The sequence below is a fragment of the Homo sapiens genome, chromosome 11, assembly GCF_000001405.40.
Source record: "Homo sapiens chromosome 11, GRCh38.p14 Primary Assembly".
In the NCBI taxonomy this organism is placed as follows: Eukaryota; Metazoa; Chordata; class Mammalia; order Primates; family Hominidae; genus Homo; species Homo sapiens.
In genome coordinates, this window is record NC_000011.10 from 101,316,984 (window position 1) to 101,343,355 (window position 26,372).

A 26,372-nucleotide genomic window follows, 5' to 3' on the forward strand; every position below is an offset into this window, starting at 1 on the left:
AATCAAAAGCAAGTTAGTAACTTCCTAGATACAATGGGGGTACAGACACTGGATAAATACACCATTCCAAATAGGAGAAATTGGCCAAAACAGAGGGGCTAAAGGCCCCATGCAAGCCTGACATCCAGTGGGGCAGTCAAATCTTAAAGCTCCAAAATGATCTCCTTTGACTCCATGTCTCACATCCAGGTCACACTGATGCAAGAGGTGTGTTCCCATGGTCTTGGGCAGCTCTGCCCCTTTGGCTTTGCAGGGTACAGCCTCCTCCCTGCCTGCTTTCATGGGCCAGCATTGAGTGTCTGTGGCTTTTCCAGGAGCACAGTGAAAGCTGTCAGTGGATCTACCATTCTAGGGGCTGGAGGACAGTGGCCCTCTTCTCACAGCTCCACTAGGCAGTGCCCCATTGGGGACTCTGTGTGGGGGCTCCAACCCAACATTTCCCTTTTGCACTGCCCTAGCAGAGGTTCTCCACGAAGGCCCACCCCCTGCAGCAAACTTCTGCCTGGACATCCAGGCATTTCCATACATCCTCTGAAATATAGGCAGAGGTTCCCAAACCTCAATTCTTGACTTCTGTGTACCTGCAGGCTCAACATCACATGGAAACTGCCAAAGCTTTGTGCTTGCACCCTCTGAAGCCATGGCCAGAGCTGAACCTGGGCCCCTTTTAGCCGTGGCTGAAGTTGCTGGGATGCAGGGCACAAAGTCACTAGGCTGCACACAGCATGGTCACTCTGGCCTTGGCCCATGAAACCATGTTTCTCTTCTAGGCCTCCAGGTTTGTGATGGGAAGGGCTGCCATGAAGACCTCTGACATGCCCTGGAGACATTTTCCCCATTGTTTTGGCAGCATTTGGCTCCTTGTTATTTCTGCAAATTTCTGCAGTCTGCTGGAATTTCTCCTCAGAAAATGGGGTTTTCTTTCCTATTGCATTGTCAGGCTGCAAATTTTCTGAATTTTTATGCTCTATTTCCCTTTTAAAACTGAATTATTTTAACAGCACACAAGTCACATCTTGAATGCTTTGCTGCTTAGAATTTCTTCTGCCAGATACCCTAAATCATCTCCCTCATGTTCAAAATTCCACAAATCTCTTGGGCAGGGTCAAATGCCCCCAATCTCTTTGCTAAAACATAGTAAGAGTCACCTTTACTCCAGTTCCCAACAATTTCCTCATCTCCATCTGCGACCACCTCAGCCTGGATTTTATTGTCTATGTCATTATCAGCATTTTGACCAAAGCCATTCAACAAGTCTCTAGGTAGTTCAAACTTTTCCACATCTTCCTATCTTCTTCTGAGCCCTCCAAGCTGTTCCAACCTCTGCCTGTTACCCAGTTTCAAAGTCACTTCCACATTTTTGGGTATCTTTAGAGGAGCACCCCACTCTACCAGTACCAATTTATGTATTAGTCCATTTTCATGCTGCTAATAAGGACATACCTGAGACTGGGTAATTTATAAAGAAAAAGAGGTTTAATTGACTCATAGTTCCACATGGTTGGGGAGGCCTCACAATCACGGTGGAAGATGAAAGGCACATCTTATGTGGCAGCAGGCAAAAGGAAAATGAGAGAAATTGTGCAGGGAAACTCCCCCTTATAAAACCATCAGATCTCATGAGACTTATTCACTATCACGAGAACAGCACAGGAAATACCCACCCCCATGATTCAATTACCTCCCACCCAGTCTTTCTCACAACACATGGGAATTGTGGGAGCTACAATTCAAGATGAGATTTGGGTGGGGATACAGCCAAACCATATTAATAATTATTATTTTTGATTGGTTCATTATTTAGGCTTTCTGCTTTACATAAGTGTAGTTTATACACCACTATTACAGAGTTATAATATTCTGTGTTTTTCTGTGTGCTTACTATTACCAGTGAGTTTTGTACCTTCAGATGATTTCTTCTTGCTCATTGATATCCTTTACTTTCAGATTGAAGTACTCCCTTTAACATTTCTTGTATGACAGGACTGGTGTTGATGTAATCCTTCAACTTTGCTTGTCTGAGAAGTTCTTTATTTCTTCTTCATGCCTGAATGATATTTTCAATAGATACACTATCCTAAGGTAAATGTTTTTTTTTTTTCCTTCGTCACTTTAAATATGTCTTTCCACTCTCTCCTGGCCTGTAATGTTTCCACAGAAAAGTCTACTGCCAGACATACAGAGCTCTATTCTATGTTATTTGTTCTTTTCTCTTGCTGCTTTTATAATCTTTTCTTCATTCTTGACCTTTGGAAGTTTGATTATTAAATGTCTTGAAGTTGTCTTCTTTGGGTTAAATCTGCCTGCCGTTTATTATAGCCTCTTGTACTTGGATATTGATATCTTTCTCTAGGTGTGGGAAGTTCTCTGTTATTATCTCTTTCAATAAACTTTCTACCCCTATCTTTTTCTCTACCTCTTCTTTCTGGCCAGTAACTTCTGTTTGCCCCTTTGAGGCTATTTTCTTGATCCTGGAGGCATGCTTCATTTTAAAAATTCATTTTTCTTTTGTCCCCTCTAACTGTATATTTTCAAATAGCCTTTCTCCAAACTTAGTAATTCTTTTGTCCACTTGATCAGTTCTGCTATTAAGAGACTCTGATGCATTTTTCAGCATGTGAATTGCATATTCACTTGCAGATTTTCTGCTTCATTCTTTTCAATTATTTCAATGTCTTTGTTAAATTTATCTAATAGATTTTTGAATTTCTTCTCTGCGTTATCTTGAATTTCTTTGAGTTTCCTCAACACAGCTATTTTGAATTCTCTGTCTGAAAACTCACATATGTCTCTCTCTCCAGGATTGGCCCCTGGTGCCTTATTTCATTTGGTAAGGTCATGTTTTTCTGTATGGACTTGATGCCTGTGGCTGTTCATTGGTGTCTGATCTTTGAAGAGTTATGCATTTATCACAGTCTTCACAGTCTGGGCTTGTTTGTGTCCATCCTTCCTGGGAACGCTTTCTACATATTCAAAGGGACCTGGGGGTTGAGATCTGAGTTTTTGGTCACTGCAAGCCATATCTGCATTACAGAGCACCCCAAGCCTAGTAACGTTGTGGTTCTTGAAGACTCGTAGAGGTACCACTTTGGTGGTCTCGGATAAGATATGGAAGAATTCTCTGGATTACCAGGTGGAGACTTTTGTTCTCTTCTTTTACTTTCTCCTGAACAAAAGAGTCTCTCTTTCTTTGCTGAGGTACATGAGGCTATGGGAAGGGTTACACAAGCACCCCTGTGGCCATCACCACTGAGATTGGGCTGGGTGAGACCTGAATCCAGCACAGCACTGGGTCTCTCCCAAGGCCTGCTATAACTACTACCTGGTCACCACCTATGTTCGCTCAAGGCCCTAGAGCCTTAAAGCCAGCAGGTGGTGAAGCCAGCCAGTCTTGTGACCTTCACTTCAGAGCAGTGAGTTCCCTCATGTCCTTGGCTGGTCCAGAGATACCGTCTGGAAGTCAGGGACTGAAGTTGGAAAACTTAAAAATCTACCTGCTAAGGCTAAGCTAGCACTCAAACCACAATACAAAGTCCTTCCCACTTTCCCCAGGCAAAATAGTCTCTCCCTGTGCCCACCACCACACAGGCTCACAGGGAGTACTCTCAGGCTACCAGTAATGTTCACTTATGGCCTAAGGACTCTTCAGTCAGCTTGTGGTGAATGCTGTCAGGCTTGGGACTCACCCTTCAGGGCAAGAGGCTCCCCTCTGGCCCAGGGCAGGCTCAGAAATCCCATCCAAGAGCCAAATCCTGGAATCAGGGGCTCCAAGACCTTGCTTGGTGATCTTCCCTACTGTGACCAAGCTTGTACCTAAGCTGCAATCAAAATCCTTTTTTATTATTATGCCTCCTTTTCTCAGGCAGAAGGAGTCTCTTCTCATATCCACCATGGCTGTGAATATGCTGGGTCACACCTGAAGCTAGCAAATCTCAGAGTCTCACCCAAGGCCCATGGTATGTACTACATGGTTACCATGGCTGATTATTCAGATCTCAATAGTACTTCTTCAATCAGCAGGTGATGAATCCTGCCAGGTCCTTCCCTTCAAGGCTGCAGTTCTCTTCTGGCCCAGGGTGTGTCTAGAAATGTCTGGGAACTGTGGCATGGAAAGGGGACCTCATGACTAGGACTGGTGCCCTATTCTGCTGTGACTGAGCTGGTACCCAACAAGCAAGACAAAATAATCTCCACTTTTCTGTCTCCTCAAGCAGAAAAAATTGGTCTCCTTTGGAGCCATGAGCTGTACAGCCTGGGGTTAGTGGAGGGGTGATGTCAGCATTCCTTAGCCACCCCAGCTGGTATTTCAGTGGGTCATGTGCATTCCCAGTCCACTGTCTCTGGGCCCACTTCAGCCCGAGGACTCACCTAGGTGTTGCAATCTTTGTGGCCGAGACTGCCTTTCAAGTTTATTTGGAGTCCCAGAGCACTTTAGCCTGTGGTGGCAAGGCTTGCAGGAACTCAAGTTCCACTCACTGGCATCAGCAATTCCTCTCTGGCTAGGGATAGTCTAAATACTCCAACTGTGGGTGTTGGCTGAGTTCTGCCTGTTGTTGGCAGCACTGAGTTCCAATGCAAAGTCCCCCAAGAATACAGATTCTCTCTCCACGCTGCCATGTGGTCACTTCCTGGGGGCCAGGGAGGGTGGTGTTGGCAGTTCAAGACTGTCTTTCTTACCCTCCTCAATGCCTCTTTCAATGATATGAAGTTAATACCAGGTACCGTGATCACTCACCTGATTTTTGGTTCTTATAAAAGTGCTTTTTTTGTGTAGGTTGTTGTCAAATTTGGTGTTTCTTTGGGGAGGACAATAAGTGGAGGCTTCTATTTGGCCATCTTGCTCCAACTCCTTTCCCCATTTGTTGTTAACCAACCCTTTCTAAATAACTATTTACTCAAATTTATGTATTTTTATTCATCAAAGATGAAAATGGCAGTAAAACACATTATACTGATGTTTTTGGATATTTGTATATAACCGGTATGAGTGTATAAAATTCTGGTCTTTCTTTTCTGGCTCATAACTCAAATCTGTAAAATACTGTTTATTAATTAATTATTTTATTCATTCATTAGTTTAAGCATTTAACTATCTACCACATGCCACATATCTTACTAGGCAAGGGCTAAAAAAAAATGTCTAATACACATAAACAGACTTGGCCCTCAAGAAGCAAAATTCATAAATAATACTATATATACCATGGATGACCATATGCATTGGCTTGCTTGAATCACTAACAGTTTATACCTGTTTTCTCATTTGCTTATTTATACTTCTAATACTCTTAAAATTACCCTTGTTTAGACAAGAAATTATAGAGTTACCTATAATACATGAACTTAGTTTTCTAAATGAAACTTGAATATATGAAGTTTGAACAATGTAAAAGAAATGTTTATAATATTTGAGTTTATCAATTTAATGATAAATTTATGTTTAAGATTTTATGTAGACATATATCATGTACTAACTTAGTTTTTCCCTTTTCACATTTTATTAACCAAATTTTATTTAAACTCTTCACATGTATATTTAACATTTGTATACATATGTAACTAACCTGCACATTGTGCACATGTACCCTAAAACTTAAAGTATAATAATAATAAATAAATAAATAAATAAAAAGAAAAAAAAAACATTTGTATTTGTATTTTGGTCTTCTGTAGAGCTTTTTTTTACCCAGATATCTATCAAATTTGTAGAGCATATCATGTTTACTTACATATAAATTATTTGAGAGATATCATTGTGGGGAAAGGGGGATGTATGCATGTGGTAGAGATTTTAATCTTTCGTATGAGACAAGGATAATTTCCTCCCATTCATTGTGTAGATACATATTTGTGACCTTCATGCAACCAACTATTCTAGTGGTGTTAAATGATAAATTTAGTTTTTTTTGTAACTTCCAATATTTGGAATTGCAAAGTTTTACTCTCAGGAATAATGACTAGTTCTGAGTTAAATTTGTTTTCCTTATTTCCTCCAATCAGGTGATATATAAAGATCCCAAGTTAGCATCAATGGAGGTGTTTCAGACTCAGATGTACCCACTAAAGAATACTTTGTCAATTAACATAAATAACTGAGTGTTGCCCAGCAACAAAAACTTTGTAAGAACTTGAATACCGGGTGACACTTTATTTTCTAAAGTCTTAATCTATGTAAAAACCTGGTTAAATGTTTGGACATATATGAACATTAAAGCAGTGTGGTAGGTGCTATGATAGAAGAATGTATGAAATTTCAGGAAAGAATAATAGAAAGGACTCAGTCTTGAAATTTATTCAACAGGAAGACGAGGAAAGAAGAAGAGAGTGTTCCAAAACAAAGAAAAAGTGGGGAGGGGGAAGAATAGGGTAAGTAAGAGAGAAAAAAATGGATCCCAGGATAGGAGCATTTCTTTTAAGAAAGATCTCATGAACTCAACCAGTGAATAAATTTTCTGGGAGTACACATGGTCTAGAGCTCCATGGGGCCTTGTATCAGAAGGGCAGATATCATCATCTTTGCGTACATTACAGACAGAGTTCCAAGAAATGCTTGAGAAGGTTCCATTTCTTCTTTCTTGTGACATTTTCTGATCATTAAGTTAATACCTGCTTGCTACAAAGAAGCAGAAAAAAATCTAAAGTAGAAAATAGAAGTCACAATAATCCCATGACCCAGATATATAACCAGTGTTTTGTTCTCCCAAGGTTTCAATATAGTAAGGAATTTCCAAATAATGAAATCTCGAGTCATTTACCTGGGAAATCCAGTGATACAAATAGACATGAATAGAAACAAGAAGCTCCTTATAAAATGTATTTTTTAAAGTTTAGTATCTGAGACAAACCTATACACGTAATAAAGCACTTGCCTACCAATAACTCTATCACTGCCCTATTCTCTGTTATTTTTGTAGATAGGGAAAGGGGAAGGCTTGATCTGGGAAAGCTGGAGAAAGAAGACTGAAGGATGGACTGGATGACATTGATGCTATTGCCTCATGACAAAATCTGATGCAAGTAAGCCAGGGCAACTTCATGAGACTTTGGAATATCTTTGTATCTTTGAGGCCAGGTGAAGAAACCTCTCCACTGAAGCAGGCAGCCACTCTAGCCCCCGGACCCCAGCAATGTAGCTATGGCATGAGGTAGGAAGTAATGAATGCATCTGCAGGCAGTACCCTGAGTGTGGATGTTGGTATTGTTCTGACAGGCAGTGGCAGCTGTGCACCCCCAAGTGGTTTGCAAGAAGTATTTGCAAGTAGACAAATTGGAGCTTTCAGAGGAGTAGAATGTAGAATAAGTTGTGTGAATGTGGAAACTAGCTGATCAGCTGAATTATGTTCTCCTTTGGGAAATGCTTTGAATCAAATCAATTTTCTTATAAGCAAGCTAGACTTCAACGTTTTTTTCTTACTTCATATGATATCTGAAATATATACATATGTGTGTGTGTGTGTGTACAACATACCTTTTTCATTGCCCTTGGTTCTGTAAATGATTTTTAAGCACGTTTTCTATTTGATTAATCAATCATGAGTATCTAATTAATAATGGTAAACAATGATCTATGTAATGTTTCTGGAGTCCATGTATTGAGTACTATGTGGTTAAGTTTTGAAACCTCCTAGTTGAGGTGCTACAGATAGTAAGGATGTTTATCAAGATTATGCTAAAACAATGGCATTCCTATTTTTTATGTGACTTGCCATCCATTTCGGTTTTTACCCAATGTAAAGGCCTCACTGTGTTCCAAGATGTGTAGACAGTGGAACACACTTTTCATAATGCCAGTGAGGCAGGAAAACTGCCTGAGCACAGACCACTCAAAGCAGACACATAACAGGAGCAATCACATCTCTCACTCAGACAGGCAATGATTCTTGAGTACTAGTTTTCATAAGACATTTTGCAGCTAAGGTTGAAGGAATTCATCTTTCTTGTAGAACAACTGCAGACTAAGGCCTCTTATTCAATAGCTGTAAGCCTACAAATATAAGGAATCAACATCCCTGGGAAGTCCTGCTTTGGAGAACACAAAGATGACTAGTAACAGGAGTGACACAGGAAGAAAAGAGACTATTTTTTTTTTTCAGCTACACCAGGCAAAAAGGATTTTTACCAGATCTCAGAAAGATAGTATGAGATTTAGAACCCTACTCTATGTGGTGTATCATGCTAAAATTAAAATAGTAGGCTATATATACTTATTATTTAGTTGGGCTCAGCCTATACTTTCTGTTATGTTTATAGAATCCTGCATTAACAAAGAGACCAACTCCTCCAAGTTTTATTTTAGCTAGATAGTTGGGCCTGGAAGACATCGCTTGTTGAAGTGAAGATTTGGTGTTTAGACTGAGCAGACTAGATGTTGCTTAGAAGGATTTTACATTATTGGGGATGTGAGGCAGAGATGGGGGGGATGCGAGTGATACCTTTCCCCCATCAATAAAAGAAATTGGGTATGTTTTCTGAAGCCATGAGGAATGGAGTGCCCTTTCCCTACCCCTGTTCACTCCCCTACATTCTTCCTCTCTCCCTGAAGGAGTTATAAATATTAGTGTACAAAGAAAGAGTGTAGGAAACATAACTCTATATTTATAGCTCAACTGATTTGTCTCTGAGTTCTGTATCCTGTTGAGCTTGTGGGATGCAGCTTGCTCTCTTTGCCTCCCTCCAAGACTGTGCTACAGTTTTCCCAACTACATCATTGGGGTGGGAGGGCAGCAGTGGTAATGTCATAAAACCCTCTGGTCCTTGTTTCATTGTCCTGGTCCATGAGGAGCTTCAGTCTCAATCATTTTGTGCTACATTTAGGGAATCAGAATCTTACAAAATGCTTCCTATTTCATGTGCATCCAAATGCACCACATGACTCTTTTTTGGTGGGGGCGGGGAGGGGATTACCTTCTCCCGGTAATGCTGCCAGAAAGCCAAGTAGAGGGTGAACCTACTGCAGGTTCCATTCTCTCTCCCTACCTCTGCTACACCAGATGAGTCTCATTCTAGTCAACAAATGAGGGAGGGTTGGGAAACAATACTTCTGTTCCAAAATATTCTGTCCGTATATTTACCTGTCTTTGCTCTTTAGACAAACAGAAACTTACAGATGTTTTTGTTTTCTTCCTGACACATACCTTCCCTAAGGTAAGAAACATAGAGCAAGACACAAGCTTAAATGTGGTAAAGGGAAAAGGGAATGTCCAGAGAGACAAAAATTACATGTAAGCCAATATCTCAAAATATGTTAGCAATTGCAATTTTTGGCCTATGTAATTATTTGTTATGGCAGGTTTCTAAGCAGTTACTTCTGTTGTATTTATTTAGTAGCCTGATGGGTGGCTAGGCACAGCTTGTGAAGCCAGGGCTCAGAAAGTATAGAGAAGGAGGCTAGCAGACCTGCCCACACTCTGGGTGTGAACATTGTGAAGGAAAGCAGTGGGGAGAAGCAGCTCCTTGCTTTTCCCTGGTATGATGGTACAAAGAGCACAGGTTCTACAATTAGAAAAACCTGCATTCACATACTTTTCCACTTACTGGTTATTTGATTTTGGGTAAGTCACTTATTGATGGTTGACAGAACTTGGACAGTAGTTTTACTGAAGTAGGGCGATATTTTGTTTTGTTTTTTCATCTTTATATCCTCAGAGATGAGCACACTGATGAAACATACTTGGCATGCAATAAATATGTAGAATGGATGTACATAGTTTAATACTTCACAACTTCAGTTTTCTTATTGATGGGAAGTGATAATAGCACCTGCTCCTGGGAAGATTTAGGAAAGCTCCACATGTAAATAAGTCTGGCAAACCCCAAAAGGGCAGGCATTCAGTAAACAATTATTTCTCCCTTCCTTTTCCCCTCTCCCCTTTGTCTTTTCTCCTACATTTCCTCCCGTATTTCACTCCCTAGTGACTGCCCATAATTGGTGTTTTTATTCATAGTAGGCATAGTGTCCCTCTATTGATTAACTCATAAATAGTCATCATCGTTATCAACACTGGCAGCATAAATAGAAGTTGAATGTCTAATCTGTGAGACAGTAGGCTGCTTATATTTTCAACAGCTTTGGAGTAAGAGCAACCCCTATCTCCTCCACCACGTCTCCATCCACCTGATACCTCACTGCCACTAACCCAGGAAAATGAACTGCTTCTTTCTCTCTTTTGAAGAAGGAAATTCTGTCCTTTAATAAAACCTGACTGTCTTCCCATTTGTGATTCTAATCTGTCATCCATCTAAATCATTTGATTTTTTTTCTCAAAGTTTTTCTTTTTATAGTTCTTCAGAGTTACTCAGTTTTAAAAAACCCTCCCAAAGAATGCCACTTTGTAAATATCATTATATGTGGCTTATAATTTATATGTATGTATTTTATTTATAACAGGTTAATTCCTTAAGGTAGTGGTCCTCAACCTTTTTGGAACCGGGGACTGATTTGGTGAAAGACAATTTTCCCACAAACAAGGGTCGGTGGGGTGTGGAAGGGGGTGATGGTTTCAGGATGAAATTTTTCTACCTCAGATCATCGGGTATTAGATTCTCCTAAGGAGTGTGCAACCTAGATCCCTTGCATTTGCGGTTCACAATCGGGTTTGCGCTTCTATGAGAATCTAATGACGCCACTGATCTGACAGGAGGTGGACCTCATGCGGTAATGTTCACTCACTCACTTCGTGCTCTGCGACCTGGTTCCTAACAGGCTGTGGACTGGTACTGGTCCACAGCCCAGGGGTTGAGGACTTCCGACTTAAGGTGTAAAACTTTGAGTAGGTAATGTCAATTTCTATAACTTAGAACAGCGATTTTTAAACTTTGAGAAATAAAACCCCCTTTTTGCCCACAGATAAATGCTAAATATAATTATATTTTTCTAAGGTCAAATTTGTTAATATAATTCAAAATCGTATTTAGTTTACTATAGAGCAAGTCAATACAAGTAAGAATTTCTATAATGAATACAAATATTTGGAGTTGGGAATTATAATACTAGTTTTACAATTTTACATCAGTCTCAGCAACCTGTTTATTTCTGTATTTCATGGGGCTTAAAGCTGGGAAAGATTCTGATCCTTACAGATAAGTAATTTCAAGTGGTACTGGTTATGCAATCTGTGATTGCATAACCTTGTATGCCTTTTGCAATCATAGATACTCTGCAAATAGTTAAAAAGCTGGAGAAGCAAGTCTAAGATCTGCGTAAGAACCAATTAATCTGGTCTCATAAACTAACATATTGGTGGCATTGTATAACTTTCGAGGAAATGTTTACTGTAGTTTCATAATATAGTTTCATAAACGTAATTTAGTTTAGAATTGATATCAAATATTGAAAATAATTTTCCTGCAACATCTTTGGAGTCAAGTTATACCTAGAGTCACTTCAAAACCAATTGCATAAAATATTCAATGTTACTTGTTTCATGTTATTAAATTAAAAACAGTCTTTTGTAAAAAAGGCAGTTCCAATTGTCTTTGGTAGGTCTATGTTATGACCATAAAGATACCATGCTGTTGTCATGATAAATAATAACTACCTCTGTCATAACTCTTTTATATTTATATTCTCAATTGACCCTCATAAAAACACAGCAAGATAGTTGTAGTTATTATTCCCAATCTACATAGGAAGAGAAGATTATATAAATTGCTTCAAATTAAACTCCTAACTTCAAGCTAGAGATTCAAACATGGGTCTCTGTGTCCCTGAAACTCACAGTCATGCAGAGCCCTGGGACTGCTGTGTTGGTACAGCACATGCCCTGGCAGAATGGGAGCCTGTGTTCACTGGACACAGGGTCTATGATTTGTTGTTTATCCTTTGTTTATTAAAAACAAACCTTTAGTATTTATAAATTTAAGAATATAGGGAATATTTATTTGTGACACTCCTTTTTCTGAGAGAATGTAGTATCCTTTCATTTGAAGGAATGTCTTGAACATCTCAAATCAATAGAAACACAACTTCTCCTACATCTGGCTGGACTGGCTTCAAGTTTTCAGAGGAAGAGAAAAGGAACTTTACATCACTGATGTAGAATGAGAAGGTGAATAAGTATAGGAGAAATTGTTTTTTTAATCTGAAAGCACTGGTATCTAATAAACAATAATTCTGTGCCTGTTTTCATCCTTCCTGCCTCAAATGCTTCCTGAGCAAAATGTAAGATGATCTCAGTAATCTTTATTTGTAGCCTTTAGAGTATGCTGCAGTGATGGTGATTTAGGGACTAGGAGAGTTTCATAGGGTAGAGGTCAAGATTTGAACCCAGGCAGTTGGATTCCATAGCTTGCCTTCTTAGCCACTACGCTCAATTGTTTTCCATGGTAGTAAGTATATTATTCCTAAGAGCATTCATTTTTTAAGAATTATCAGCTCTTAGAACTATTAAATATCATCCAGATTTCCTGGCTTTGTAGGTGTCCATGAAGAGGCTGGGAGACCACCAGCTGAAATGTTGCAAGATTTCTTTATTGGTCAGGAAGTTGGGTCTTTAGATATAATTCTAATGCAATGTTTTAATACTAGGGTCCTTACCTGTAATCGTTTCCTCAAATTTGATCTTGAAGTTTTTCTCATGAGATTGGCAATAAACTCTCGACGTGCCCTGATGAGGCTCCAGATAAGGTAGTCATGGATGTTGCTTCTTTATCCTGGTAGGTGTTCTCATGCCTTAGTGTCTCATCTGTGACCAGGAATTCCCCTCACAGAAAATTTGCTTGTACTGGCAGATGCCCTGTGGCTCTTGTCTGACCTGTGTTCAGTTTATTCCTACCAAGATAACCACTCTCTGAGATAGCTCTGATTGGGAGGAGAGTTAGATTCAGGGGTATCCATCAGGTGAGACGCAGAAGAGGCAACTCAACAAAACACATGAAGTAACAGAAGCAGCGTTATTACTTATAGATCCGAGAGAAAAGAGGGTAGCAAGCCTCACAGGGCTAACAGCAAGTGGGGAGTCACTGGGGATATGCACACCCAACCACTGCATGGAGAGCAAGAGAGAAAGAGTGAGAAATCAGTGGGCCAATCCTTTACAGGGTTTTACTTAAGCAGGATTCCCAAGGGCAGTTCTAATTGGTGGGTTTACAACAAGCAGGCATGAGTTCCTTGGAATCATGCTGTGACTGAAAGGTGGTCACTGTGGCACCTCTGTGCATCCCATGTGGGGTGTGAGGGTCAGTTGGACAAGTCAAGTAGGTTGTATCTATCTTTCCACAGGGATGTGGTCACCAGAAGGTGTTTGTATAAGGCATATAATCTGGATCAATCACATTGAAGAACTGGGAGAGGTGGAGAACTGGAAACTTTGTCAAGGGTTAGTAAAACTTGATTCTGTTGTGATAAATTCTAATTTATATTCAAAATGCATGCTGAGCCAACATATAATTATAAAAATTCACTATATTACCATATTAAAGTCTCTAAATTGGATGGGCTACAAGGAGTCCATAAACCCCCAAAATAGTATGTAAAATGTGTAAATCATCAAAATGCTAATCTGCCACAATCAAGTAGACTTTATTCCCGGGATGCAAGACTGGCTCAACATATGCAGATCAATAAATGATTCATCACATAAACAGAAATAAAAACAAAAACTACATGATTATCTCAGTAGATACAGAAAAGGCTTTTAATACAATTCAACATCCCTTCTAACAACCCTCATCAAACTAGGTATTGAAGGTGCATAACTCAAAATAATAAGAGACATCTACTCCAAACACAGAGTCAACATCATAACAAACAGGCAAAGCTAGAAGCATTCCCCTTGAGAACTGGAGCAAGACAAGGACACTCACTCTCACCACTCCTATTCAACATACTACTGGAAGTCCTAGCCAGGCGAGAGAAAGAAATAAAAGACACCCATATAGGAAAAGAGAAAGTCAAACTATCTTTCTTCAGACACAATATGATACTATGCCCAGAAAACCCCATAGTCTCTTCCCAAATGCTCATAAATCTGATAGACAACTTCAGCAAAATTTTAGAATGCAAAATCAATGTACAAAAATCAGTAGCATTTCTATATACCAATAACATCTAAGCTGAGAGGCAAATCATGACTGTAATCCCATTCACAATAGGCACAAAAACAACAAAATATCTAGGAAAACAGCTAACTAGTGAGGTGAAAGACCTCTACAATGAGAACTATAAAACACTGCTGAAAGAAATCAGAGATGACACAAACAAATGGAAAAACATTTCCTGCTCATGAATAAGGAGAATTGACATTGTTAACATGGCCATACTGCCCAAAGCAATTTACAGGTCCAATGCTATTTCTTTCAAACTACCAATGACATTTTTCACAAAATTAGAAAAAAAAATTCTAAAATTCATTTGGTACCAAAAAAGAGCTGGAATAGCCAAAGCAATCCTAAGCAGAAAGAACAAACCTGAAGGCATCACACTACCTGACTTCAAACTGTACTGTAAGGCTACAGTAAATAAAACAGCATGGCTGGTTCAAAAACAAACACATAGACCAATGGAACAGATTAAAGAACCCATAAATAAAGCTGCACGCTACAACCATCTGATCTTTGACAAAGCCAACAAAAACAAGCAATAGGGAAAGTACTCCTTGTTCAATAAATGCTGCTGGGATAACTGGGTAAACATATGCAGAAGAATAAAACTGGACCCCTACCTTTCACCACGTACGAAAAGCAACTCAGGATGGATTAACGAGCAAAATGTAAAATGTAAAAATATAAAAACCCTAGGATAAAATCTGGGGAATACCATTCTGGGCTCAGCCAAGACAATGACTAAAGGACAAAGACTTTAAAAGCAATTGCAACAAAACCAGAAATTGACAAGTGGGAGATAATTAAAATAAAGAGCTTCTTTACAGCAAAGGAACTACAACAGAGTAAAGAGACAACCTACAGAATGGGAGAAAATAACCAGAAATTGATAAGTGGGAGCTAATTAAAATAAAGAGCTTCTTCACAGCAAAGGAACTACAGCAGAGTAAAGAGACGACCTACAGAATGGGAGAAAGTATTTGCAAACTATGCATCTGACAAAGGTCTAACATCCAGGATCTATGAGGAACTCAAACAAGTCAACAAGCAGAAAACAACCCTATTAAAAATGGGCAAAGGACATGAACAGATACTTCTCAAAAGAAGACATACACATGGCCAACAAGCATATGAAAAAGGGCTCAATATCACTGATTATTAGGGAAATGCAAATTAAAACCACAATGAGATACCATCTTACACCAGTCAGAATGGCTATTTTTAAAATTTTCAGAAGGCAACAGATGCTGGCTGAGTTGCAGAGGAAAGGCAATGCTTATACGCTGTTGGTGGGAAACTAAAGTAGTTCAGCCACTGTTGAAAGCAGTTTGGAAATTTCTCAAAAAATATAAAATAGAACTACCATCTACCATTCAACTCAGCAATCCCATTACTGGGTATATAACCAAAGGATTATAAATTGTTCTACCATAAAGACACATGAAGGTATATGTTCACTGCAGCGCTATTCACAATAGCAAAGATATGGAGTCAACCTAAATGCCCATCAGCGATTAACTGGATAAAGAAAATGTGATACATACACACCATGTAATACTACATAGCTATAAAAAATGAGATCATGGCCTTTGTAGCAATATGGTTGTAGCTGGAAGCCATTATCCTAAACAAATTAACTGGAACAGAAAACCAAATATCACATGTTCTTACTTATAAGTGGGTGCTAAACATTGAGTACCCATGGACACAGCAAAGGAAACAGTAGACACTGGAGCCTATTCGAGGGTGGAAGGTGGGAAGGAGGGCAAGGATTGAAATACTACTTATCAGTAGTATGCTGATTACCTAGATGATAAAATCATCTGTACTCCCCTGTGACACAGAATTTACCTGCACATGTACCCCTTGAACCTAAATAAAAGTTGGAAAGAAAATAAATAAAAAATAAAACTTGTACATGTGTAGTACATTCTTCTGGGAAGAAAATCATAGCTTTTTACCCTATTTATAATCCAAAAAATGTTAATAATAATCTTACACAAATGGATTTATTGATTGTAAATATTGCAAACATATTACACTCAAAGGATAACCTATTTTTGTTAAATTATTATTAGTAATAACATTTGGGCAAGATTATTAATTAAAATGGGTTAGAATCTGTAATGTCACTAGAGTAATGATGAACTATACATCTATTTATCTATGTATCATTATCATCTATCTACTAATATATCTATGATGTGTTTTGTTTTATAATGGTTTATGATTCACAAGTGCTTTTGTCATGTATTATCTCATTTAATCCAATGTCAATCTTGTAAGTGGGTTAGTATTATTACCATTTTCATAATTAAGAAAAAATATTTCAGAAAATTCCCAACCTACTGTTATTAAGTAGGAGAGCTAGGATTCAAATCTAGGTCTATAAACCTCCAGCCCCAACAGTTTTCAACACTGACATGACTCATCTTTCTATTTATTTTATTAACTTATTGAGAAATAATGGAGAACCAGAAAACCTGCATAAATCTCAAGGAATTTGCTGTTATTTCTGTTTTTATTCCTTTATATATAAGAGGTCTTAGAAAAATTAATCTCTGGGTGCTTTTCAAATTTTCTCTTTATCTTAGTTTTGAGACTTTTCATTATCTTATACCTTGGTGTAGTTTGCATTGTGTTTTGTCTTCTTGCAGTTCATCAAGCTTCTTATCGTTTTCATTAGATATAGGAAAATTTGGCCTTCATGTACTTGAATACTTTTTCAGCTGATTCCTCTCCTTCAAGGACTAGCAATTACATAATATTAGGCTGCTAGAAGTTTTCTATAGATCACTGCTTTTTTGTTTTTGTTTTTCTTTCTGTGTTTAATTTTTAGTAATTTCTACTTCTATTTCAAGTTCATTAATCCATTCCTCTGCAATGCCCGATCTGCCATTATTCCTATCTGGTGTATTTTTCATTTCAGACACTAATTTTCATTCCTAGAAGGTAAGTTTTTAATTTTTTATATTTTCCATGTTGCTACTTAGCATCTTAAACATATGGAATACATAAAGTACTCATTTAATGTCTTTGTCTACTGCTTTAAACATCTGTGCCAGTTCTGGTTGTTTTGATTGATTGAATTTTTTTCTTTATGATTTGTATTTGTTTATTTCTTTGCATTCTTGCCAATTTTAATCAGCTACCTGACATTGTGAATTTTACCTTTTTGGATGCTAGATATTTTTGTATTACTACTAATGTTCTTGAGCTTTGCTGTGAGTGCAGTTAAGTTACTTGCAAATGGTTTGATCTTTTTTGGTCTTGCTTTTAAAATTTATTAGGTGGGCTCAGAGTGGTGATTTATTTAGCACTAATCATGCCCCTGCTGAGGCGAGACACTTCTTGTACTCTACCCAGTGCTCCATGAATGAGGTTTTCTGATCCGGCTGGCAGGAAAAGGCACTATCTCTTGTCCTTGTATGAGTACTCAGCACTGTTGCTTCTAAACCTTTTGGATGTTATTTTTTTTTCTTTTTCCTACTGCTTTGAGTAGTTTTCAAACATACATAAATTTATCAATATGCTGCTGAATGCTCAAGGGGACCCTACAGAGGTCTCTATTGTTCTCTGTGCAGCCTTCTCCTCCTCAGTACTCTGTCTTGCCAATTCCAGCTACTTTGGTATTTCTGGACTCTCATGCCAACTTCTCAACTCTGAGAGTCTACCAGGCTCTGCCTAGGTTCCTACCTCCCTCTGTTGTATCTTAGAAATTATCTCAAAGCAGTTAAGCTGAGGAATTTGTAGGGCTCACCTTATTTGTTCCCAGTTTCTGTCCTTCACTGCCTGATATTCAATGATTGGGACCATTGTTTTACATAGTAAGTCAAGCATTTGGTTTTTTTCAGACAAAGAGGTAAATGCACTCGCTATCCCTCCATCTTGACCAGAAGCAGAAGTCTCTTATCCTATTGTTGTTCATCTATGTCAACTCAGAAGAGCTTTGAAAAAATAAAATAGTGCTGTCCTTTTTTGTTCCTTGCTAACTTGTATATTCACAATATAACTTTCTGTCTGTAGGCTTACTGTATGTGTTGGAACTAGAACAACTATGTCTTATTCAGTGTGCAACCCCATCACATAATACAATTTCCAGTAGATAATATTCTCTGTATAAATGTTTGAGTGCGCAAATGAATAAATTAATAAATATATAAAACCCAAGTCTTCCTGGGGGAAGGAGATGCAAATATGATGGTTGTATAATACATACAGTTTTAATGTGTATTTCATACAATAAAATTGAAATAGAAATGAAAAAAAGGAATGTAGAAAAGAAATGCAAAAGCGACTTGCAAATGTTATTAGCACTTGCTTAGAAGTGAAGAGGGGCCACTGCACTCCAGCCTGGGCGACAGAGCTACACTCCATCTCAAGAAGAAAAAAAAAAAAAAGTGAAGAGGGAACCTGAGCCTTCCAAAAAGAAATGGAGCATGTGGTGGGCCAGACTCCCAAGGGAAAAGGGAGTGTACATCCTTTCAAATCCACCTCTTTTTTCATTTCTGCCTTGTTTATCTCTCTCTCTGTCTCTCTCTCTCTGCCCACCTCCCGTCTTTCTCTCTTCCATGTCTGATATTACATGTGCTATATTTAAGGAGTCTAAAATTCACTAGCCAAATAATTGTGTTGATAGAGTTTGGTGGGGGACTAGATAGATTGTGTGAATCTAACAAGAGCAGAGGTACAATATGTAGTTGCAAAATATAAGATTACTCTAAGACCCCTTCTATTTCTGGGTTTCTCTTTGTCTGTGGGATCCAAGGGGAAATGAACAGTCCCTCCAGATTACATTGAAGGTGCTGTGTCTCATGTACTTACAACAGCATAATTTCACACTATTTTTCCCTTAGTTTCCTGTTCCTTCAAAGGATTAGTTTAACATGTTATTAATTTAGAAAAAATTCACATTTTAAATGTTGTATTTGTAAGTTTTTATTTGTATTTTTTACTTTTTAAATCTTAATTTTTCATGGCTAAAAACACAGGCCTTATTTAAAAACAAATAAAGCTTAGGGGCAAAATTATATTACCAAAGTAATAATTGTATATATGAAGGCTTTTGGTCCATGTCTTATTTCTTTCAATTAATACAGCAGCATTCCCAGAAAAGAAAAGAAAACAAATCACAAAAATCACTGCCTTTTAATTCTTCCATGAAAACCATTAAGGGTCAGGACACCCTTGTGTATTTTTATACCTGCCCATCTTGATATATGTCTAATCTTTTCTCCTGTCTTTAATTCTGTAAACATTCTATCTTTAGTGAGTGCTTATTTTTGATGTAATCAAATCTGTGGCACACCTGTCTCTGTTGATGAAAAGAGAGTGAGTCATTTGTGAGGAGGGCGGTCACATTAACTCTTGGAAGATACAAAAGATGACTTATGAAATTGAGTTTTTGAGGACATAACATGATGCCCTCATGACGGAAAAGAACTCACGGATCTCCTGGAAAATGTCATCCCCTCCATCTCACAAGGGGATGCAGAGCCATTGCAAAATTAAACTCTCAAGTTAATGCCATGGAGCTTAGTAAACAAGTTGTAAGAAATGCCATTCAAAATGTTTATTTTCAGACTGTTCCTAGTGACTGCAAATCAGCCAGTTGAACGTGTTTGCATCTTGCTGATCTGCTCCACCTTTGGAAATGCACTTTTTTCTTTAGTATAGATACAGTCTGTGTTTTAGGGACACAAATCAGAGGAATAACAGAACCAGTATTACTCCATTGAGTCATGGCCTTTGATTTTCAATAGAAGCAGCCTGCTTCATTTTGTCACTGAGTTCTTTTCCTAGCTCCCATCTGAAAGGAAAGAAGAATACAAAAATGAATGATAAAAGCCAGCCCTCTGATGGACCAGGGCAGGGAACACAGTGTCAGGATGGCGTTTCATAATGATAAGAAAAAAGTAATTTGCTGATCTAGGTGAGTGCTTTATCCTCTGTGCGTGTGTAACCTGAAGAGGGTAAATTACTTTTTCCTGGTACCACTTGGTATCCATGAGGAGGTAATTTGCCTCATAATGTCAAGACACCCTGCTGCTGTGAAAGTGGTTATACTCCTGGCTTGCTACAAGGAGAGTGTTTGGCTCACGGTCGAGCTGATCCCTTCATAAATCACCCAATCCAAGGCTGAGATATTTCAGGACATACAAGCAAGTGCAGAAATGAATAGATGCTTTTTTTTTAAGGGGGTGGTTGCAAGTATGTTTTTTTTTAGCTCCTTCATTGGTTGTTATTTAACTGCACTTTTCCCTTAGAGACAGAGGGTTATTAAAATCTAAAATAGTTGAAAGCAAACATTTCTCACTGTTCTATAGGACTACAATTTAGTCTTATATATGCCTAGCAGCTAAGTGCTGTGGGAATGATTTCCTCTGCTATTTTGAGGCCTCACATCTGGAAAAGGGGCTTTGGTCAGTTGGAGACCCTGAAAGAAGCACCTGCCTCTTTAGGAAGTTTTTCAACTCATTGTAAAGTGACTGGTAACAAGAGAGCATTATAAGCAAAATGTCCTTATTGGGACTCCTTCTTTATGGCAAGAAAATTCATCACTGGTCTGGGAATTCATTACTTTTGCTATTTCTTTTGAGACAAAACTTGAGGGAGAATAATAATCCCTGAGTGTAAATATTCATGCTTAGGCACCTTTAACCAGATAGTCAAACTGTACAGAGGCACTCAACAGAGTATCTAAAACTCCATTTTAGTATATCCGTCTTTCATAAACTGATAAGACTACACTGTCTTTTTTCTCCATGGTATCTACGAAACTCAAAGGGAACAGTATAGTGTATATGGGTGGAGAGTTGTGACATCATTCATTATTCATTCATTCATTTATTTACCAAATATTTGGGGGCAACCTACCACATGCTAGATATTGTACTTGATGCTGGGGTTAGAACATAAGTAACACAAATCCAATCCTAGTGCTTGCATCTTGGGGCATCTAGTCTGTCTAGGTATAAGAGCACTAGGCAGAAAATCACACGAATAATTAGAATTGTGATAAATCCTCTACAGAAAATGTAAAGGGTGCTATAAGAGTGTGTACTGGGGGAAATAATTTAGTCTGGAGAGTGAGGTGTCAAGAAAAGCTTTCCTTTTTAAACTGGGCACCAAAGAAAGAATGGGTGGAGATAACAAGGATGAGGTGGGAGAAGAATTCCCAGTAGAGAAATAAACTTGGGTAGAGTTGCTAAGGGGAGACTAAGCTTGAAATTAGAAGGGAGTCAAAACAGTAGAGAAAATTAAATAAGGGAAGAACAGCTCAAGATGAGATGTATTAATTTATTCATTTAATAAACATGTGTATAGTATTTACTCTCTGCCAAGAAGAGCTGTAAGTTCTTTACAAATATTGAATCCTTATAATGATCTTGGAAGGTATATACTATTATTATCCCCATTTTATAGATATGGAAACTAAACAACAGAAAGTTTTATAATGAGAGCAGGGAACATATAAAGAGACTAAAAAGCCATGTGAAATATTTAAAATCTTGTCATAAGAGCAATAGGAACTTGTAGAATGGTGTGAAGTGGTGAATGCCTTCGTCATGTTTATATTTTGGCTAGATATCTCTAATCAGTGCCTGAAGAAGGAGCCTGGGAAGTAAGGGGTGAAATGAGAATGAATGAGAAAATCAGTTAGGAGGTTATCACGGTACTACAGGAGGGAGATGACACTAGGCAATGCAAAGAGTTGGATGGATGTAAGAAATGTTCTAGAAATTGAACAGGCAGGACTAAAGATGGAACTGATGGGTTCAGGGTAGGAGGAAGGGAAGCTCAGGGATGATTTTTAAGTTCTGTGTCATAAATAAATATATAGGGAACAATTTTCTATGTTAGGGAACACAGGCAAAGAAGAACATTTGGCAGCAGGGCAGAAAATAACTGTAAATTGAATTTCAGCCGTAATGCATTTGAAGTTTCTAAGATGTATTTATGTGGAAAAGATGTAAAAATATTTGGATTTGGGAAAATGAAATGCAGAATCAAACTCTGAGAAAAAATATATACATCTAGAAATGATCTGGCATTTATTTATTAAACTTTTAACTTGGGTGTTTCTTCTCAAGACTCTAATGCGGACGTAAAGAAGTATAAGACAATATTTAAGAAGTAAAAATGCAATGATACAACCCATAAAAGTAGTTAGAGTTTTGAGACCATAAAGACTCTATACTAATAAAGGCATTGTGAGTATTTATTTCATCTCTGCATAACTGGTTCAGAGGAAAATCTGTAAGATGAAATGAGGCTGAAGGCAGGCAAGGTGATGATCAAAAGATTCCAAGTCTTCAATTTGTAGTCTTTTGATAACTGAATTGTTGCTGGCAAATATTTTCAGTTTCCAAATATTTTAGCCAATTTTTAAAAGACTTTCCCTTTACCCTTACATTGAATTTTGGGGGTGTCAATCTCCAACACACTTCACTAAATCTCCCACAAAGAGCCTTCTCCTAAAATCAAGATCCAGAGAAGAGTGAGGTGTTATTAAAGTTACATACTTAATGTGTATGTGTGTAAGGCATGCTTTAGCTGGGTCATATCCTGCACTGATGAGCAATTTAGGCCTTTTTTTTCTGACATGCCAGGCTACAGAGTAGAGCATCAAATGAATGGATGCCTTTAAAAACAGTACTTCCAATTAACTCTGCTTTTTTTCTCTCTCTCTCTTTTTTCTTTTTTTGACAAAGCCTTGCTCTGTCGACCAGGCTGGAGTACAGTGGTGCCATCTCGGCTCACTCCAACTCTGCCTCCCGGGCTCAAGCTATTCTCCTGCCTCAGCCTCCCTAGTACATGGCCTGTGCCACCATGCCTGGCTAATTTTCTGTGTTTTCAGTAGAGACGGGGTTTCACCATGTTGGCCAGGCTGGTCTCGAACTCCTGACCTCATGTGATCCACCCATCTCAGCCTCCCAAATTGCTGGGATTACAGGCGTGAGCCACCGTGCCGGGCCTAACTCTGCTTTTTGATAAGCTGTTCTGATGCAACTTATGGCATTAATAGCATTTTCCGAGAAGATAGAAAAACTTTGGAAGTCATGGTCCCTTCAATCCCATAGTCTGCTTGCTTTATTAACTTTCTCTTCAGTTTACTCCCTCCTACTCTTCTTTATCATCCAACAATTTTGGGTGTTCCTAAATCTTGCAACAAGCTTTCTTTCTATTTTTTCCTCCTAGCTCATTGGGCTTGGGATATTTTATTGGCATTGGAGCTGAAGAAATCTGTGAAAAAAAAGTCTGTATATACATATATATGTCTAAGTGTGCATATATTTATATATGTCTACATATATTTGTGTAAGTGTACATGTATGAAAGGAAGCTTTATCACAAATTTATTAAAAAGATAATAGATTAATTAGCTTTATGTAGTCATTCCATAATGTATGCATATTTTTTTTTTTGAGACGGAGTTTCGCTCTTGTTGCCCAGGCTGGAGTGCAGTGGCATGATCAATCTCAACTCACTGCAACCTCCGCCCCCTGGGTTCAAGCGATTCTCCTGCCTCAGCCTCCCAAGTAGCAGGGATTACAGGCGCCCACCACTATGCCTGGCCTGGCTAATTTTTTGTATTTTTGTAGAGACTGGGTTTCACCATGTTGGTCAGGCTGGTCTTGAACTCCTGACTTTAGGTGATCCACCCACCTTGGCCTTCCAAAGTGCTGGGATTACAGGCGTGAGCCAGTTTGCCCTGCCAATGTATGCATATCTGAAAACAGAATGTTATGCATGATAAATATACATGTTTTAATTTTCACGTTAAAAATAACAATAGACAAACTAGTTTTCCTTTTATTGAATGAGCTGTATCCTTCTGTTCAATATAGAGTGTGGGGGCAGATTTCAGGGTTTTGATTATGTGCTCTGTGCTCTGTTGACAGGAGGAAGGCTACTAAGAAGCCAGCTCTACTTTTGACCATCAGGTACCATCTTAGGCTTCAGTTTCCTCAGGAGAAGAGGATCCTTGGACAAGAGGATCTGCAAAGTTCCTTCTAACTAATATTCTATGATTCTTTTTCTGAGTAAAAAGATGGATTTATGACAAAATTAAAAAAAGAAAATCAGCTTTTAAAAGGTGTAACTTCTTCAAAGATTTTTCCAGAAAAGACTGCCAATATGAATTGTGAGATAAAGCAGATTGTAGAGCAAAATTGTTGGACTTTTAAGAACAAAAATACATGGAAGCCAAGAGCAATAATTAACATTTTTGAAATATTATGTTACTTTCTCACATTAAAAAAATAATAATTGAGACTGTGAGGTGGGCAGGAGTACATTTCCTTACCTAGGGATTTTAGGTGACTTAATATAAGTCGCCTAAAAGTAAGCCAGTAGACCCAAGAATCGTACCTTCAAATTGCAGGACCCATAGAGAACAATCCAGGTATAAATTTAGCCGGGGAAGGGTCAGATTAATACTGGACTTCTGGTGTCACATTGCTCAGCTTCAAAGCACAATTTACATATTTTCATTGACTTACTTTTGCTATTTCTGTATAATGAACTCTAGAAATATTTGGTTACTATCTCCAGAATTTGGAATTTTCAATGGACTGTAATAAGAAACAAAAAAGATCAGATAAGGGGAAAAAGATCTGTTATGTCCTAAATAACAGTGATAACATGAACACAATCTATGCTATAAAAAGCTATGAGCTAAGCTCACAAAACATGTGGACAAATATGAGCTAGTGAAAGAAAATGACCTAATGGAAAGATGTCAGAAAGTGGCAGAACAAGTTCTAAGAAAATTGGACAATTTCCTCAATCTGACATGATTTAAGTGCAAGGAGAACTTGAATAGCATGAATTTGGCCTTGGGCAGAAATATGTACCCCCAAGAGAGGCAGCTCCCTCAGCATTGCTTCTAGACATCGAATTTGGCATGAAGAGAATGTTAGCTAGTCCAGGACACATTCTAGACAGGATAGGCTCTAAACATTTCGAAAAAGCCTCTACTCATTGTAAAAAAAATATGCTTAATATATATATAATTAAAAGGAAGAAAGTAAAAATCTTCGTAGTATTGCATCTTAACATTTCGGTGTATTGCTTTCCAGTGATGAAAGAATGAACCTTAAAGGGGAGGAGGACTAACAATTCTTCAGGTGAGAAGAGGGAAGAAAGTTAGGATGAATCTGGAAGTGAGATTTCAAGATGGGGCAAGAAGAACTTCTGTTCACCTGTAAAATAGAAAAAAAGATATTTTCAGTCTCACCATTATTTTCCAAGTGAGTTTTTTTTTTTCCTATTACTAAACTGTACAAGGGCAGGAGCTGTGCCATTTTAGTCTGTGATCCTCCAAAGACTGTTATAATGGCTCAGCAGACACTCAATAAATATTTGTTGAATAATCAGAGGCAAGTAAGACATAATAAACACAAAAACGTAGCAAAGCAAATGCCAGGAGGAACTGGAGTTTAGTAGAATATTTAATGAAAGTGCAAAAGACTTGCAAAAGTGCTTGGGAATTAGGGAAGGATAAAGAGGGTGTGACCCAAGCCTGGGGTTGCAAATGACATATAGACAGCTTGACATTTCTTCTCCCTTATAATTCATTAATCTCCAACAGGGATCATTTTCTAAAAAAAAAATATTGTTATAGATTCAAAGGGTAAAGTGGAAGTTTGTTACATGGATAGATGACAATGTAGTGGTTGGGTTTGGGCTTCTATTGTACCCATCACCCGAATAGTGAATATTGTACCCAAATAGGTTACTTTTCAACCCTCCCCCCATCCCACTCTCCCCACTTTTGGAGTCTCCAATGTCAATTGTTTCCTTCTTTGTGTCCATGTGTACCCATTCTTTAGCTCTTACTTATGAGTGAAAAGATGAAGTATTTGATTTTCTGTTTATGAGTTTTTTCATTAGGATAATGGTCTCAAGCTCCATTTTCCATGTTGCTGCAAAACATAGGATTTCATTCTTTTTATGGCCGTGTAATATTCCATGGTGTATATATACCACATTTTTTATCTAATCATCCTTTATAGGACACTGAAATTAGTTCCATATCTTTGCTATTGTGAATAGCGTTGTGACAAACATGAAAGTGCAGGTGTCTTTTTTATATAATAATTCTTTTTTCTTTGAGTATGTAACCAGGAATGGGATTGCTGGGTGAAATGGCAGCTCTATTTCTAGTTTTTTGAGAATCTCCATACTGTTTTCCATATAGGTTGTACTAATTTACATTCCCGCCAGCAGTGTATAAGCATTCCCTTTTCCCCACATTCTCACCAACATCTGTTGTTTTTTGACTTTTAAATAATCGTCATTCTGACTGGTGTGAGATCGTATCTCAT

The 26,372-nt window shown here is 38.1% G+C and overlaps 1 long non-coding RNA gene across 1 annotated transcript; it reads left to right on the top strand.

The window, feature by feature from the left end:
• The first annotated feature begins 2,729 nt into the window (after window positions 1–2,729).
• Window positions 2,730–26,118, top strand: LOC105369458 (uncharacterized). The gene is made up of 4 exons (XR_947952.2): window positions 2,730–3,956; window positions 6,915–7,017; window positions 23,946–23,987; window positions 25,125–26,118. It is a non-coding gene; the product is annotated as an uncharacterized LOC105369458 (long non-coding RNA).
• Window positions 26,119–26,372: the final 254 nt, after the last annotated feature.